The following is a 15,830-nucleotide window of genomic DNA, read 5'->3' as shown; positions in this document are numbered from 1 at the left end:
GAGAAAATCCAAGCCTGGGGTCCCGTGGTACAGTGGAGGCCGGTCGCTGAGCCAGGGCTGGGGCCCACCCTGCATGCCTGGCTCATGATATGGCTACAGCTCAGGGCCTCGCCTCGCTGCATCCAAGAGCGCTTTTTTTTTTTTTTTTTTTTTTTTTTTTTTGAGACAGTCTGTTTTGCCAGGCTGGAGTGCAGTGGCAGGATCTCGGCTCACTGCAACCTCCACCTCCCAGGTTCCAGGGGATTCTCCTGCCTCAGCCTCCCGAGTAGCTGGGATTACAGGCACACGCCACCACACCTGGCTAATTTTTGTATTTGTAGTAGAGATGGGTTTTGCCATGTTGGCCCAGGCTGGTCTCAGACTCCTGACCTCGGGTGATCTGCCCGCCTCAGCCTCCCAAAGCACTGGGATTATAGGTGTGAGCCATTGCACCCGGCCTCTTTCTTGGTTCTTAATACCAAATCGGAAGCAACCCTAGACCTTTCTTCCACTAATCTGTCACCAAGGCCTTCAGATTCCTGCATGTCCCCACCCTCAGCTTCGTTCTCCCGACTCACCCTGCCCCCCGCTCCTGCCAGGCCCACTATGTATAAATACATTAACCCTCTCCTTCTCTGTTCTTCTAGAGATCAGTGGTTTTGTGGTAATCACTGCCTCTGAGTACTTGATCTCACATCAGATGACAGGGCCCAAGGTGGATTGTGTAAGATACAGAACAAAAATGTAAAAACCAGAAAACAAACATAAAAGCATCACATTTCAAATAGGACATAAAGGTCCCTAGATTTTTAATCAAAATATTTTACAATTTTTGCTCTGCTAGCATGAGATCAACAAGAAAACCCAACAGGAATACATAAAAAACTTAACAAGTTGACTTTAATAAGTAAAAATTACAACATTCTTCTCCCAGCAATGAACAATTTCATTTTTTAAAAGTAAACGAGGCCTAAAACAAGAGGGCACAGGAACAAGTAGTCAGATGGATTTAGGTGAGCACTGTACACAAGCTTTGAGGAAGTGCAAAGGACTGACCTCTAGGCCAGAACAAGATGGAAAACTACCAGGCCCATCAGGCCTATAACCCAGACACCAGCATGGACAAAACTCAGTTATACTGAATTCAGAGACAAAATTCAGTGACACTCTTCTACCACTTATTTAGGGTTCTACAGCATTTCACTGAGCAGACTTAGTTTTTTGTTTTTGTTTTACAAACCTTTTAAACAGAGGGGATTTAAAAAATGCAAACTAGGACTACGATGTTAAGACAACCACTAGCAGACAGCTGCGGACAGTTACTGGGTCTGAAGGTGAGGCTTCCCAACTCAAACAGAGAAGTCATTGGGATAAACTCTGCCTCTTTCATCTTTCACCACCCATATCCTTAAAACAGGACAAGATGGGATGACCACACCAGGTAACATCACCGAGGTCTCAAAGTAGCAGCTAAAATGTGCCAGAACTCTTCACCCTGTCTAGGACCTATGTTCCACTCTCTCAGCAACAAAAGGATCTATAACATGTTTTCTCAATAAGGCTTTAGTTTCTCCTCCAGCTTCAAGTGGCCTTCACTACTCAGAAACCAATTCTACCTCTTTTGCTTTCTTCTTCTTCTTCTTCTTCTTGGTGGTATCACTGTCCTAGAAAGAAAGAGAATGAAAGCTCACAGATACCATCCACTAACAAAGCTATGACTCTCCCAGAAGGAAATCTGGTAAAGGTCCACAGTCAAGCAAGCCTTTTTCAGGACCTGTAAGGATATTTTGGGTTAAATGCTGCATGTGACACAAAGTTCTGTAAACCTTTCAGTGACACCCTAGTGGTCTACTTTTGGAAGTGGAAACATTCAGATCACCATCCTACACATCCTCTCCACCCACCATCAATAGAGCTCTAAGTATAAGTGGTAGAGGTCGGGTGCCTCTATCTGTCCATTCCACAGGGAGGGCAAAAGCACTCCAGGAACATGGGGAAGCACTAAAGGCACTCGGTGGCATCCCACCCCCAGGCCACAGCTCCTCCAAGAAGAGTAACAAAGCTGGTACCACCTGGGTAATTCTTTCCCCACGCAGGGACTAAGCCAGCCCAAGGAACCTGAACGTGTTTCCACACACCCCATCTCCAGGCTCGGCCCCGCTCTCCAGACCAGCTTTGGCCTTCTTGTCCTTCTTACTCTTCTTCTTTTCCTTCTTGATCAACTGAGGAGCTGCTGGAGGAGTCTCGTCACTTTCACTCTCACTCTCTCGCTTCCGCTGAGATGAAAGCAATTGGTTAAGTGTTAGATCTTGGGCAATAATGGACAAGAAAGGTTCAGTGAGTCAAAAGGTAGCAAGGCACCAAGAAAGATCCCAACTGAATCTAACAGGACGTTTTCTGACTACAAACCCGGACAGGGCCTTAGTTTACTGAGGATTTGAAGACAGTCTCATCCCCCAAATCCAAGAAGCCTTGAGGCAGGCACAAGAGAAGGAGCACAGCAGCAGCACGGGGCTTGGGGTGGAAAGGCCCGGAGGAGCTGTTTCTCTCATGACTGCAAGGACCTCTCACAGAAAGCAGGCAAAGCAGGAATTCACATCTGACAAGTCAGAAGCTCCTCCCACACAGCCTGTGCAGGATACTCAGTACCGCCCCCGGTTTCTGAGTGCAGACCTGTCATTCTGTGCTCTAATGCCAGCAGCTCCATGGGGTGGAGTTGCCAACCCATGCTTGACTGACTCTTTCAACACTGGGTGGTGCCAGGTTAAGATGCAATTCTGCTCTCTGCTGAATTTTGTATGGCCTCGAATGTCCAACAGCCATGGCCTCTGATTTCAACACATCTGTCCTACCATTTGACCCAGGGCGGGGGCCAGAATTGACACACACACCACCACCCATTCCATCACTGTGTTGCTGCCATAGCTGAGGTAGGAGTCGAGGCCCATCTGATTCCTGAGCCCACATTCCTCCTCCCAGCAGATAGGACAGAGAATACAAATCAGAGGAGCCTGCAGAGCCCAAACAAGCACCCCAGGGTATGAGGCAGCATTACCTGTGTATGCGCTGCACCTCTGATGCTAGCGTATATGGCTGGACTGCGGACAGTCACAAAGTAAGACGAATGCCAGTGCCTCTTAGGATTATCTCCCTAAGCACATTCCAAACTGAGGACAGCATGCCACTCACCTTCGCAGTTTTTGCTGCTTCGGCAACTACCTGCGGGGCTTTTACCACTTCAGCAACCACCTCTTTTTTGGCAGACTCACTGAAAAAGAGGTAGCAATAGGTCAAATTCACTGAATGGCTTTCCAGGGCAGTACTGATGTTATGTAGTGTTATCTGGCAAGTCTAAAGCCACCATCAAAATACTGACGCTGGACAGAAGAACTCACCACTTACTGTTGCAGACTGACTCCCTCTAGAGTCCCACGAGCCAGACTAGAAAGGGATAACTGTCTGCCGTGCAGGCCCACACCCCTAACTGGCCTGGGCAGCCAAAATCTCACGGGAGCTGAAGAGCTGGTTCCTGTGGTCCTGCATTTAGCAAGTTTGCCCCAAACCAAGTGACTCCCCCTCCCCTGGGCTCTACAACCTCCATGCTCACCTGTTCCTCACCTGTTGTCCATGTACTCCTGCGTCCAGATGGCAAGTGGGCTCTACCTTCCCATCCTCACCTGTTGTTGACATACTCCTGCATCAAGGCAGCAAGTGTGCCGTCTCTACCCACCCCGGCTCTGAAACATCCTGCCCTCACCTGTAGTCAACATACTCCTGCTTCCAGGTGGCAGGTGTGCTGTCTGTGGGCTTCCCATGCTTGTCCAGAAGGCCCTGCTTGATCATCAGCTTCTTCTGACTTGCCTGGTGGAACATCAAGGTGTCAACATTAGAATGGTGTCAATGCTGGAAGCGGGCATGGTGACTACAAAGAATAGAACAAGGTTCCTCCCTGGTGTATTCTCAGCAGGGCCTCAAACTCCTCTCCAGAGCATTCAGAATTTGCCCACTAACTCCAACACACACAGGACTTGTTGAAGATCACAAAGCTTATTAGTGAGAGCCTCTGCAGACATAACGTCCCCACCGCAGCCACTCTACTTTTTTGCCTTTGCACATGCTGCTTGCTCCCAATGCCCTGAACTCTCCCCTCCCCTCTTCACTTCACCAACACCTAACCCACTCTTCACACCGGTGTGGCTTAACAGACAATCCCTTGACCAGACTCCTTGACCACTGTGGACACTCCAGGTGACAGACACCTCTCTGCACTCCTTGGTAGCCACTAACGTGCATGAAATTCGCCATTCCACTGTGTGATTACGTGAGTAATGCCCAACTGTTTCCCCTCATTAGACTGAAATCTCTAAGGCCCAAGACAGGGCCTGTTTCCACTCATCGACAACCCAGAGCCCAGCACAATACAAGGCTGTGGTGGTGAAACACACCAAGAGCTGCCCAAGTATTCAACAATGCCAAACAAAAGAACCTGGCAGGAGCCGCCCCATCCGGGAGGGAGGTGGGGGGGGGTCAGCCCCCCCGCCCGGCCAGCCGCCCCGTCCGGGAGGTGAGGGGCGCCTCTGCCCGGCCGCCCCTACTGGGAAGTGAGGAGCCCCTCTGCCCGGCCGCCACCCCGTCTGGGAGGTGTGCCCAACAGCTCATTGAGAACGGGCCAGGATGGCAATGGCGGTTTTGTGGAATAGAAAGGCGGGAAAGGTGGGGAAAAGATTGAGAAATCGGATGGTTGCCGTGTCTGTGTGGAGAGAAGTAGACATGGGAGACTTTTCATTTTGTTCTGCACTAAGAAAAACTCTTCTGCCTTGGGATCCTGTTGATCTGTGACCTTACCCCCAACCCTGTGCTCTCTGAAACATGTGCTGTGTCCACTCAGGGTTAAATGGATTAAGGGCGGTGCAAGATGTGCTTTGTTAAACAGATGCTTGAAGGCAGCATGCTCCTTAAGAGTCATCACCACTCCCTAATCTCAAGTAATCAGGGACACAGACACTGCGGAAGGCCGCAGGGTCCTCTGCCTAGGAAAACCAGAGACCTTTGTTCACTTGTTTATCTGCTGACCTTCCCTCCACTATTGTCCCATGACCCTGCCAAATCCCCCTCTGTGAGAAACACCCAAGAATTATCAATAAAAAAATAAATTTAAAAAAAAAAAAAAAAAAAAAAGAACCTGGCAGGGCACGCAACCCAGTACCACTTACCTTTGGACCTAAACCCCACTTCCGAGGGTAAGTGTCTCTCTCCATGATCACTCTCTTGATCTTGGCTACTATACCATGGTCGCAGGTAGAGATGACCGCTGTGGTCATTAATGCAATAGCTACAGGCATTGAATAAAGAAAAGAATTATTTGAAGGGTGAAAGAATTGATAATTGATGAGCCCCAATTCTACTGTTGTATGCCACTTTAAAACTTTTAAAACTCTGAGCTACTACTTTAATTGGGGTTACCTTTGCTCAGGATGTGCATATGGAGGAAATACTCCATTATGAGAAGGAGGCCTTTGAAATGACGTTAAACTTCTGAAGTTAAAAAACACCTAACCAAAGCACCTAACGATACACATAACAGGCTTGCAGCTCAAGACGTCTATAAGAACGGCATGCACACTCCCTTTGGGGCCACAGAACCTTTGAAGTTTTAAGGATTCCTTTTCTGCTGCTGTCCATAAGCCGTGGCTGCCTTGCCTGCTCACAGAGCTAAGGAATCCTGATGACATGCTTACTTCTGGTACAAATTAGACCCATTAAATGAATAGCTCTAAGGTTCATTCACTAAGAGGGTGCGCAGAGCATTTAAAGTCTTAAGAGACAATCCAACAGTAGCTAAGCTTTCACAAGTTAAAAAACACTGGTACTTTACATGGAACCACAAAAGACTCAAAATAGCCAAAGCTATCCTAAGCAAAAAGAACAAACCTGGAGGAATCACATTACCTGACTTCAAATTATAGTATAGAGCTACAGTAACCAAAACAGTATGGTACTGGCATAAAAACAGGCACATAAACCAATGGAACAGAATAAGGAACCCAGAAACAAATGCACACACCTACATTTAACTCATTTTTGACAAAGGTGCCAAGAACATACACTGGGTAAAAACCAGTCTCTTCAATAAATGGTGCTGGGAAAACTAGATATCCATATGCATAAGAATGGGAGAAAATATCCGCAAACTACCCATCTGACAAGGGATTAATAACCAGAATATATAAGGAACTCAGCACTATAGGAAAAAAAATCTAATAATCTGATCAAAAAACAGGCAAAAGATTTGAACAGACACTTCTCAAAAGAAGACAAATAAATGGCAAACAGGCATATGAAAAAGTGCTCAATGCTGATCACGAGAGAAATGCAAATCAAAACTACAATGAAATATCATTTCACTCCAGTTAAAATGGTTTATATCCAAAAGACAGGCAATGACAAGTGCTGGCAAGGATGTGGAGAAAAGGGAACCTTTGTACACTGTTGATGGGAATGTAAATTAGTATAACCACTATGAAGAACAGTTTGGAGGTTCCTCGAAAAACTAAATTGAGCTACCATAGGATCCAGCAATCCCACTGCTGGGTATATACCCCAAATAAAGGAAATCAGTGTTATCAAAGAGATCACAGTAGCCAAGATTTGGAAGCAACCGAAGTGCCCATCGACAGATAAATGGATAAAGAAAATGTGGTACATATACACGATGGATTACTATTCAGCCTTAAAAAAGAATGAGATCCTGTCATTTCCAACAACATGGATGGAACTGAAGATCGTTATATTAAGTGTAATCGGCCAGTCACAGAAAGACAAACATTGCATGTTCTCACTTATTTGTGGGAGCTAAGAATCGAAACAATTGAACTCATGGACAGAGAAGAGTAAAAGAATGGTTACCAGAGACTGGGAGGGTAGTGGGGGGCTGGCAGGGAGGTAGGGATGGTTAATGGGTACAAAAAAAAAAAAAATCAGGCCCGGCATGGTGGCTCACACCTGTAATCCCAGCACTTTGGGAGGGCAGATCACCTGAGGTCAGAAGTTCGAGACCAGCCTGACCAACATGACAAAACCCTGTCTCTACTAAAAATACAAAAAATTAGCCAGGTGTCATGGTGTGCACCTGTAATCCTAGCTACTCGGAAGGCTGAGGCACGAGAATCGCTTGAACCTGGGAAGCAGAAGTTGCAGTGAGCCGAGGTCACGTCTCTGCACTGCAGTCTGGGTGAAAAGAGCAAGACTGTCTCAAAAAAAAAAAAAAAAAAAAAACACCACCACCAAAAAACCAAAAGAATGAACAAGAAGAGTGAGACTATTTAATAGCACAACGGGGTGACTATAATCAATAATAACTTAAGTGTATATTTTAAAATAACTAAGGTGATAAATAACTAACAGTAAAATAGGATTGTTTGTAACACAAAGGATAAATGCTTAAGATGGATGCCCCATTCTCCATGATGTGATTATTATGTATTGCATGCCTGTATCAAAACATCTCATGAACCCCATAAATATATACACCTAGTATGTAACCACAAACATTTAGAATTTAAAAAATAAACATCCCCTCTTACCCATGCAGATTGCTTCTCCTTTGGTGGTGATAACCACAATCTCCTGATTGACCTCAATGCCGTCCTCATATCGAAGAACACCTGGAAGCATAATCTTGGCCCCATAGCAGATGGCATTTACCTGCAGAGATGGCACCAAGTGTAAGGGGCCCAGCTGCTGCCCTCCACCCCACTCCCACACCAGAGTAAAGGAGGACAACAAGGGAGTGGGGCCTGACACCAGGAAACAGGGATGACACTTATAGCCCACTAGCTGCAAGGGGCATGAGTGGTACTCAGAAGAGCCACCTCACTGTGCTATAGGTACCACTCTCCGCACATTACACACGACTCAAAAGTAGTAAAGAAGACTTTCAGGTTTTCAGGTTCTAGAGACTCACAAGTATTTTCTTTTTTTTTTTTTTTTTTTTTTAATTTTCAGGCAGAACCTCCCTCTGTTGTCCAGGGTGGAGTGCAGTGGCACATTCTCGGCTCACTGCAACCTCCATCTCCCAAGTTCAAGTGATTCTCAGCCTCCCAAGGAGCTGGGATTACAGGCACGTGCCACCACGCCCAGCTAATTTTTGTATTTTTAATAGAGACAGGGTTTCACCATATTGCCCAGGCTGGTCTCAAACTCCTGAGCTCAAGCAATTTGCCTGGCCCGGCCTCCCAAAGTGCTGGGATTATGGGTGTGAGCCACCGCACGTGGTCCATATTTTCATTTGAAACATAAAAATAGCCTTGGCATTCCTTAATTACTCCTCTCTCCTCCTTATGAGGAGAAAGAACAGATTTACTGGAGATCCAGGCAATAACAGGCTCTTAAAGAACTTGAAAACAAGATTACTGAGCCCTGTTGAACCAATCACACAAAAGTCTTGGTGCAGAATTTATAGGTCAGTGGGTACAAGTTAAGGCTACCTCTCCAGAGGTTCAATGGTACCCAATGCACCCATCTGCCTCATACCATCTCCACTCACCTAGACCTCTTTTGATCACATTCTCCCCTCCCTTTACATTCACCCAGAAGCCAATGGTTTGATAAGGAGAGGACATCACATTTATGTTGTCCACTGTTTTGTGACTGAGTTTTTTCAACTATTATGGTGCCATCTTTCAGTATTTATTACAGCCTATACACATACAAAAAATGTGAACATCTATACAAGATTTGAATATAAATAATTACCAACTACAAACATTTTAAATATCCAGAAATTTTTATCCCTCAAGTTAGAGAAAAAGACAATGTTTTAATTTATAAAAGGCCAACTCTCTGATCATCATAAAAACACAGCTCACAGCCTTGATCTCCTGGGCTCAAGCTGGTCTCAAACTCCTTCCTGGACTCAAGTGATCCTCTTGCCTCAGCCTGCCAAAGTGCTAGGATTATAGGCATCAGCCACTGTGCCTGGCCTAATGTGCCTTATTTTTAAGTATGCCTACCATTAAACTTTTACTTTAAATTAATATACTTGGTTTGGACTTGAAAAAAATAAAATAAAACCCAAGGAAAACAATAAAAAGAGCAAGCCTCATCTTTGGAGTACGTTCTTTCCAAATATAAACTCCTAACCCGGAACTTACTGCACTGTCTTTCATAACCAGCCGTTTATGAGATGTCAACAGCTTTTCCAAAGGGTAAACAACTCGCCGCAGGTAACTCTCATCCTTGTGGTTATCATACAGCCACTGAGCATCAAGCACATCATGCATTGTCACCATGTGGTCCTGAAAAGCAGCCATGTATGAAAATAATTCAGTTTATTTGTATCTCAGCCCATCAGACCCCAAACTTCCTAAAACTGAATGTCACTTGTTTACTAGTCCAAGCTCATTATGTCTTCAGCCTCTTCAGTCCTGGCTCTTCCAGGCATCTTTTTTTTTTTTTTTTTTTTTTTTTTGAGACGGAGTCTCGCTCTGTCGCCCAGGTGGGACTGCGGACTGCAGTGGCGCAATCTCGGCTCACTGCAAGCTCCGCTTCCCGGGTTCACGCCATTCTCCTGCCTCAGCCTCCCGAGTAGCTGGGACTACAGGCGCCCGCCACCGCGCCCGGCTAATTTTTTTTGTATTTTTAGTAGAGACGGGGTTTCACCTTGTTAGCCAGGATGGTCTCGATCTCCTGACCTCATGATCCACCCGCCTCGGCCTCCCAAAGTGCTGGGATTACAGGCGTGAGCCACCGCGCCCTCTTCCAGGCATCTTTAACCGTTGAAGTATTAGACCCCAAGCAGGCATTTTTGTAGGCTGGGAGGCAAATGAATAGAATAATACTTTCTACCCAATCATCTCCCTTAGCCCATTTTAATGTCCCAAAGTTTAATTAACAGAACAGGGAAGCTGCCCTGGACTGAACTCAACACTTTGGAAAGCATCTTTCCCACGACATGAAGCAAGTGGAGTGCCATCAAAGGCTGGCAGATGGTAAGAACCAGCTCTAAAACTTCTAGCCCCGTAACACATACCTTTTCACTCATGACTCCAGAACGAACCCTCCGAAGCTCCTGCATCTGACCACCAACTCCCAATAACAAACCAAGGTGCACACATAATGTCCGAATGTAGGTGCCAGCCTCACAACTCACCCAAAAGATTCCTAAGATACACACACACAAAAGAAAAGCAGCACCTACTGTAAATACATCACTGGTTGAGAAATGCAGTTATCCTTCATCTGAGCCACCAAGACTAGAGGTGACAGACACACTTCTTAAAATATAAGCATTTGCTGTAAAGATCTGTAATTCTGGCCAGGCACGGTGGCTCACGCCTGTAATTCCAGCACTTTGGGAGGCAGAGGCGGGTGGATCACGACGTCAGGAGATCAAGACCATCCTGGCTAACATGGTGAAACCCCGTCTCTACTAAATGTACAAAAAATTAGCCGGGCATGATGGCGGGCGCCTATAGTCCCAGCTACTTGGGAGGCTGAGGCAGGAAAATGGTGTGAACCCGGGAGACAGAGTTTGCAGTGAGCCGAGATCATGCCACCGCACTCCAGCCTGGGCGACAGAGCGAGACTCCGTCTCAAAAAAAAAAAAAAAAAAAAAAAAAGATCTGTAATTCTGATATTAGCAGAATTTTTAACACTTAAGTTGCAGGTATATTCAGCATGGTATGTTTCATGGATGGGAGGAAAATTGGCATTGTCTTAAATTTACTTCTGACAACAGAAACTTCTAAGCAGTCAAAATTGCAACAAATAAAAAACACATGCAAAACATACTTTGGTGAAAACACTTACCTTTGAACAAAGCACCGAACTACACAAATGCAGAATGAAAACATTTCAACTCCAGCAGAAGCAGTCATCATAAAAGGTGTAAAAGCCATCTCACTTTACTAGGCACTGTTCACTTTTTCAACAAAAGATAACAAAAACTATCGCCCACAGACAATATCCCAGCTGTAGGGCAGGTTTTAGAAAGTCTTCAACTTCAAGGGCATCTACTTTTAATAAGAGAACAGAATCCTGAAGAATGTGTTCATACCCACTCACAGGCCTAATGACTCACCTAATCTTCTTTCAGGATCGTATTCAATCATTTTGCTCTCGTAGATGGTCCTCACTCGGAGCTGCCTCTTTACTGCAGCAATAAGTGGGGGTCGCTGGAATAAGGCACCTGTCAGAGTTTCTAGGGCCTAAGAACAAACACAAATGAAAACAAACACCTCATCAGAATGTACATGTGCAGTCACTGGTCCAGGCTGGCTGCAGCAGCCGACTGAAAAGGGGACAAAAGGAGTCAGTCAGGACAGCTAACCCATCTCCAGATGTTTAGGGGCTCAGAGATCCAAGTCAACAAAGGGTGTCCTCCCTACAATTGCAGACTTACCCTAGAAAGCTGGGTCCCCCCTTCAATAGCATTGTGCAGCCGGACAATCCCCACATACTCTTTGCCTGAAAAATGACAAAAGAGTAGTCAGGTGTGGCCACTGAGTTTTCTGTTTTCCATATTTCTTATATGCTCAGTCACTCCCATTTTGCACAGCAGGAAAAGCGGCAGTTTGACCTTGTGTTTCTATAAAATTTGCATTAAGAGAGATTTCATGGTGATGATGTGGGAAAGAATGAAGACACTTTCTCACTGGGAATTCAATGTACTAACAGGGACAGTTGGGAGTACTCAGTGTAGAAGCTGCGTGGAAAAAGCCTTGCAAGATAAGCAGGCTTTTCTCAGATAAAAATGAACGAAGGATACTTTAGGCAGAAGCGGTAGCACAGAGTGAGAAGCCTGGAGTGACAAGCTGAGAGCTGAACCCGGACAAATGGATCCAGTCAGCTTGATGAATACATGCTTAGTATGTGGAATTCCAAAAAGCGCGGACCACCAAGATCTGGCAGGGGACAGAACGTACACAGAAACCAAAACAATATCCTTGCTTTAGGATTTTTTTTTTTCTTAATGAAGAAATAGTTTCCAGCAGACAAAACATAGAAGGGAAATACAGAAAGCTTTTCACTCTAGCCAGTCCTTCCCTCCCTCTCCCACATACCTGCACTCTGTTGTGACTTCACCAAGCGAGTGGCTCGTTCTATGCACACGATTAAACAACCAGTCACCTTGGGATCCAGCGTACCACTGTGCCCTGTCTTCTCCACCCGAAGTATCCGTCGAATCCAGGCTACCACCTCATGGGAAGAGGGGTTAGAGGGCTTGTCAAGATTAATGAAACCTGTCCTGGAATGGAAAAAAAAAAAATTAATGTATCACCCACTCTTAATGCTCCAGTGAAACAACAAATCTGAAAAGTTAAAAAGAAAAATAATTCACTGCGGGTACAGGTTATATATTCAAGACAAAGCTATTCTGGCATGCCACTGCCTTCCTGAATAGCTGATGTGAAAGCATTTTCAAAAGAAAGTAAGTTTGCACAGTGCCTCCTCCCAACACTTACCTGATATAGTCCCCAATCTCTCTCTTCAGAGGATTTGAACCACATGCAAGAGGTGTATAGTGTGTTGTCCTTACATTCAGCTTATCAAAATTCTACAAAGCAACGACACAACACAAAACAAAATACCATGTCGTGAGCACATGTAAAAAAAGAGTCAGTACCACTATGTGGCCCACAAACTGGCATAGGTCTGCAAGATGGACTAAGTACAAAAACTGAGAACTGTTGACAAACTCAGCAATTTAACATTGTGGGGACATGTGTTCTACAACAGTGTTGAGTGCACTGCCAATTTTTTAAAAACTTGGTTCTCATTTCAGATACCTTAAGGAATCCTGCTTTAAACTGTATCAGTGGGCACTTCCCAAAGTCAAGGATGCCAGCAGTAAGCATTCTCAATCAATTGTTTAACACTTGGAAATAACGTAAAAGCAGGCATTCATCTGATGCACGATTTTAACCACATACCTTTAGCAAAAGGGGCCACTGAGACGTGTCCAACTTAGCAACTTTGGATTCAGGTTTGATAAGAAATTCTTCAGCGTGTTGTATTTCCTTCGACAGGACAGAAATATAACCTATTAAACTTCCCACCCGATTTTGAACAATTCCATTACTGCCATGGAAATGTATGCCTTTTAAACAGAAAACAAGGCTTCCTATGCCTTTTCACTGGGACCTCCAAGGGAAAGAGAGAGAAGAAATGAACCAGGAGTACAGAGGGGAAGTGAAATGTCACTAAGATGGGTCCAAACATTTAAAGAGAAAGGGGGATGGCGGGTCTGTGGGTGGCATAAGGAAGACAAATTCAGAGACAGCAGTTGGTAAGGCCAGCACCATTTAGTAAGCTATGCCTGAAGGACACTTGGACTGTCTGGGGCTGTGTCATTTCAGTGCTTTTTCGAATCTACACAATGACTACCAATGCTGGCCCATTCCTTGGAAACCTTTAAAAACACTTCTTTCCTTTAGTTTGTTATTTAAGTAAACTTTCTTTTTAGTCAAAGTGAAGTCAAACACATTACTACTCACGGCTACATCTTCTTCTGGCAATGACTTCCGCTCCTTTTTCTTCTTATGTTTCTTTGGCAAAATAATTACTAAAAAAACAAACACAGGATTTGGGAATTTTCCCCAAGAATAAATGAAACAAGGGTTTAAAATAAAGACCGAAATTAGGGCAGGTAGGAAATGGATTTTAGGTCTACAATTACAGTCACATGCCACATAATGTTTTGCAAGTACAGACTGCGTATGTGATGGTGGCCCCCATAAGATTATAACAGAGCTGAAAAATTCCTATCTCCTAGTGATGTCTTGATGATCCTGACCCTGTGTAGGTCAAGGCTACTGTGTGTGCTGTGTTTGTGTCTTAGTTAACAAAAAAAAATTTTTTAAGAAAAAAATTAAAAAATTTTAAAATAGAAAACTTATAAATAAGGAGATAAGCAGAGAAAATATTTACGTACAGCTAAATAATGTGTTTGTTTTAAGCTAAGTATTATTACAACAGTCGAAGTAAAAAGTTTATAAAGTTACAGTAAGCTAAGGTTGATTTATTCTGAAGAAAAATATATTTTTATAAATTTAGTGTAGCCTAGGTGTACAGATTATAAAGTCTCCAGTAGTGTAATGTCTGAGGCCTTCACATTCAGTCACCGACTCAACCAGGGCAACTTCCAGCTCAGCAAGCTCCATTCATGGTAAGTGCCCTCCTCTACGGGTGCACCACTTATAACCTTGTGTACTATATATATATAATATACATACATATAATACATACATATATAATATACATATATACACACACATATTTATATATATATATAATTTTTTTTTTTTGAGACGGTCACACTCTTTCCCCAGGCTGGAGTGCAGTGGCAGAAACTCGGCTCACTGCAACCTCCTTCTCCAGGTTCAAGCAATTCTCCTGCCTCAGCCTCCCGAGTAGCTGGGATTACAGGCGTATACCACCACGCCCACCTAAATTTTTTGTATTTTTAGTAGAGACGGGGTTTCACCATGTTGGCCAGGCTGGTCTTGAACTCCTGACCGCAGGTGATCCGCCAGCCTGGGCTGGGATCACAGGCCTGAGCCACCGCGCCCGGCCCTGTGCTATATTTTTACTGTCCTTTTTCTGCTTAGACATGTTTAAGTACACAAACTCTCGACGCTGTGTCCCAACTGCCTACAGCATTCCGCACAATACCATGCTGTCCAGGTTTGAAGCCTAGGAGCCATACGCTACACCATATACAGCCTAGGTGTGTAGTAGCCTATGCCACCTAGGTTTGTGTAAGAGCCCTCTGATGTTCACACAATGATGAAATCGCCTAACGACCCATTTCTTAGAACGTATATCCGTAGGTAAGCGAGAAAACAAGGTGTGTAAGGCCAAATGTATGGGTCCCATGGCTGGGTAACTGACTGTAGGCTACTGCACGTGTCGGCTTCCCTTCCGGTTCACCACGTGGCTATGGCAGAGCTTAAACATCCCACAGAAGCGCTCACGCAGGGGGCCGGAAAGTTCCATAAGCGACCACTCGACTGTCCCCGCGGGCTTGTGGCCTCTAGAACTTTCTTGCAACTCGGAGCTCTATCCCTGCTCCGGGGTCCCTCCGCTCCTTTTCTTCTCGGCCCGTTTCCACTACCCTTGCTCCCCTAGTCGCATGGAGCTGTAACGGCGGCGTCCGGGCTGGCAGCAGCACAGACACTGCCACGTCCCACGCCACCGCGGGGTGGGCAGCACGGCAGATGTCTTTCGACGGCGACCCGGACCCCAGGGAGGTGAGAGGGCCGAGCCCCATCATGCCAAGTCACCGCGAGGGGCTCCCACTCTCGCGCCCTTGCCACGGAGCCAGGGCCGAGAGACAAGGCCGGCTTAAGGCCGGGCGGTGAAGAGGCCGACACGCCGGCGGGAACCAGAGGGAGGCGTGCGCGGGCCCCGATACCATCCCCCCACCCCCGTTCCCCGAGTCGCCCGGAGTTAGCACGGCCCGGAAGCCTGCAGCCCTTACCTTCCGCATCCGCCATGTTACCCTGCACCGCGTGCGTGCCGCCCGGTCCACAGCCGAGGGAACGACCGCAGACTCCCGCCGCCTTGGTCCCGTCAGGCCGCGCTGCTAGGACCCACCCACCCGCGCACTGCCCTGTGCGTGCCTTGCCGCGGGGCGGGAGGAGGCGGGGCCATCCCGGGGGCGGAATCCGAGGCGCCCGCTGGTCGTCTGCGCAATGCGATTTGCTGGCTCGGCCAGTACGGAGGGCGAGACCGCGCATGCGCTTCGAGCCTCAAGCAGCCTGGTTGGCCCAGGCTGGAAGCGCGAGTGCCGCCCGCCCCGACAGCCCGGAGTCTGTGGGCGTGGCCCCAGCTGTAGTTGCTTCACCTCC

At 46.1% G+C, this 15,830-nt stretch overlaps 1 protein-coding gene and 3 non-coding genes across 9 annotated transcripts, besides 2 other annotated features; all 4 read right to left on the bottom strand.

Moving 5' to 3' along the window:
- DKC1 (dyskerin pseudouridine synthase 1) lies at positions 753-15,578 on the bottom strand. 6 transcript variants are annotated; one of them, NR_110023.2, is made up of 15 exons: positions 15,461-15,578; positions 13,476-13,543; positions 12,912-12,998; positions 12,444-12,535; positions 12,042-12,226; positions 11,381-11,445; positions 11,060-11,186; positions 9,640-10,140; positions 9,132-9,275; positions 7,563-7,683; positions 5,193-5,311; positions 3,737-3,840; positions 3,169-3,247; positions 2,118-2,255; positions 753-1,643 (listed from the first exon to the last, which is right to left on the bottom strand). NR_110023.2 is itself a non-coding variant. In NM_001363.5 (15 exons), exons 1-15 carry the CDS (start codon positions 15,474-15,476, stop codon positions 1,575-1,577), a joined length of 1,545 nt encoding a protein of 514 aa, NP_001354.1. In that variant the 5' UTR covers positions 15,477-15,578; the 3' UTR covers positions 753-1,574. The 6 variants fall into 6 exon arrangements, 3 of the variants coding, with proteins under 3 accessions (NP_001354.1, NP_001135935.1, NP_001275676.1); NM_001363.5 differs by having other exon boundaries at positions 10,010-10,140; NM_001142463.3 differs by having other exon boundaries at positions 3,752-3,840; positions 10,010-10,140.
- Positions 3,316-3,444, bottom strand: SNORA56 (small nucleolar RNA, H/ACA box 56). The gene has a single exon (NR_002984.1). It is a non-coding gene; the product is annotated as a small nucleolar RNA, H/ACA box 56 (small nucleolar RNA).
- On the bottom strand, positions 9,783-9,914 carry SNORA36A (small nucleolar RNA, H/ACA box 36A). Its single transcript, NR_002969.1, has one exon. It is a non-coding gene; the product is annotated as a small nucleolar RNA, H/ACA box 36A (small nucleolar RNA).
- Positions 9,786-9,846, bottom strand: MIR664B (microRNA 664b). The gene has a single exon (NR_049842.1). It is a non-coding gene; the product is annotated as a microRNA 664b (primary transcript).
- Positions 15,048-15,147: an enhancer, noted in NCBI's record as "active region_30069". NCBI's record gives its function as "activates an Ori minimal core promoter by ATAC-STARR-seq in GM12878 lymphoblastoid cells {active_cell/tissue: GM12878}" and the evidence as "EXISTENCE:reporter gene assay evidence [ECO:0000049][PMID:35858748]".
- Positions 15,498-15,797: a silencer, noted in NCBI's record as "silent region_21118". NCBI's record gives its function as "represses an Ori minimal core promoter by ATAC-STARR-seq in GM12878 lymphoblastoid cells {active_cell/tissue: GM12878}" and the evidence as "EXISTENCE:reporter gene assay evidence [ECO:0000049][PMID:35858748]".

This window comes from Homo sapiens, chromosome X (assembly GCF_000001405.40).
Source record: "Homo sapiens chromosome X, GRCh38.p14 Primary Assembly".
Lineage (NCBI taxonomy): Eukaryota > Metazoa > Chordata > Mammalia > Primates > Hominidae > Homo > Homo sapiens.
Note: the sequence above shows the minus strand (reverse complement) of the source record. Positions and strands in the feature narration are given on the sequence as shown.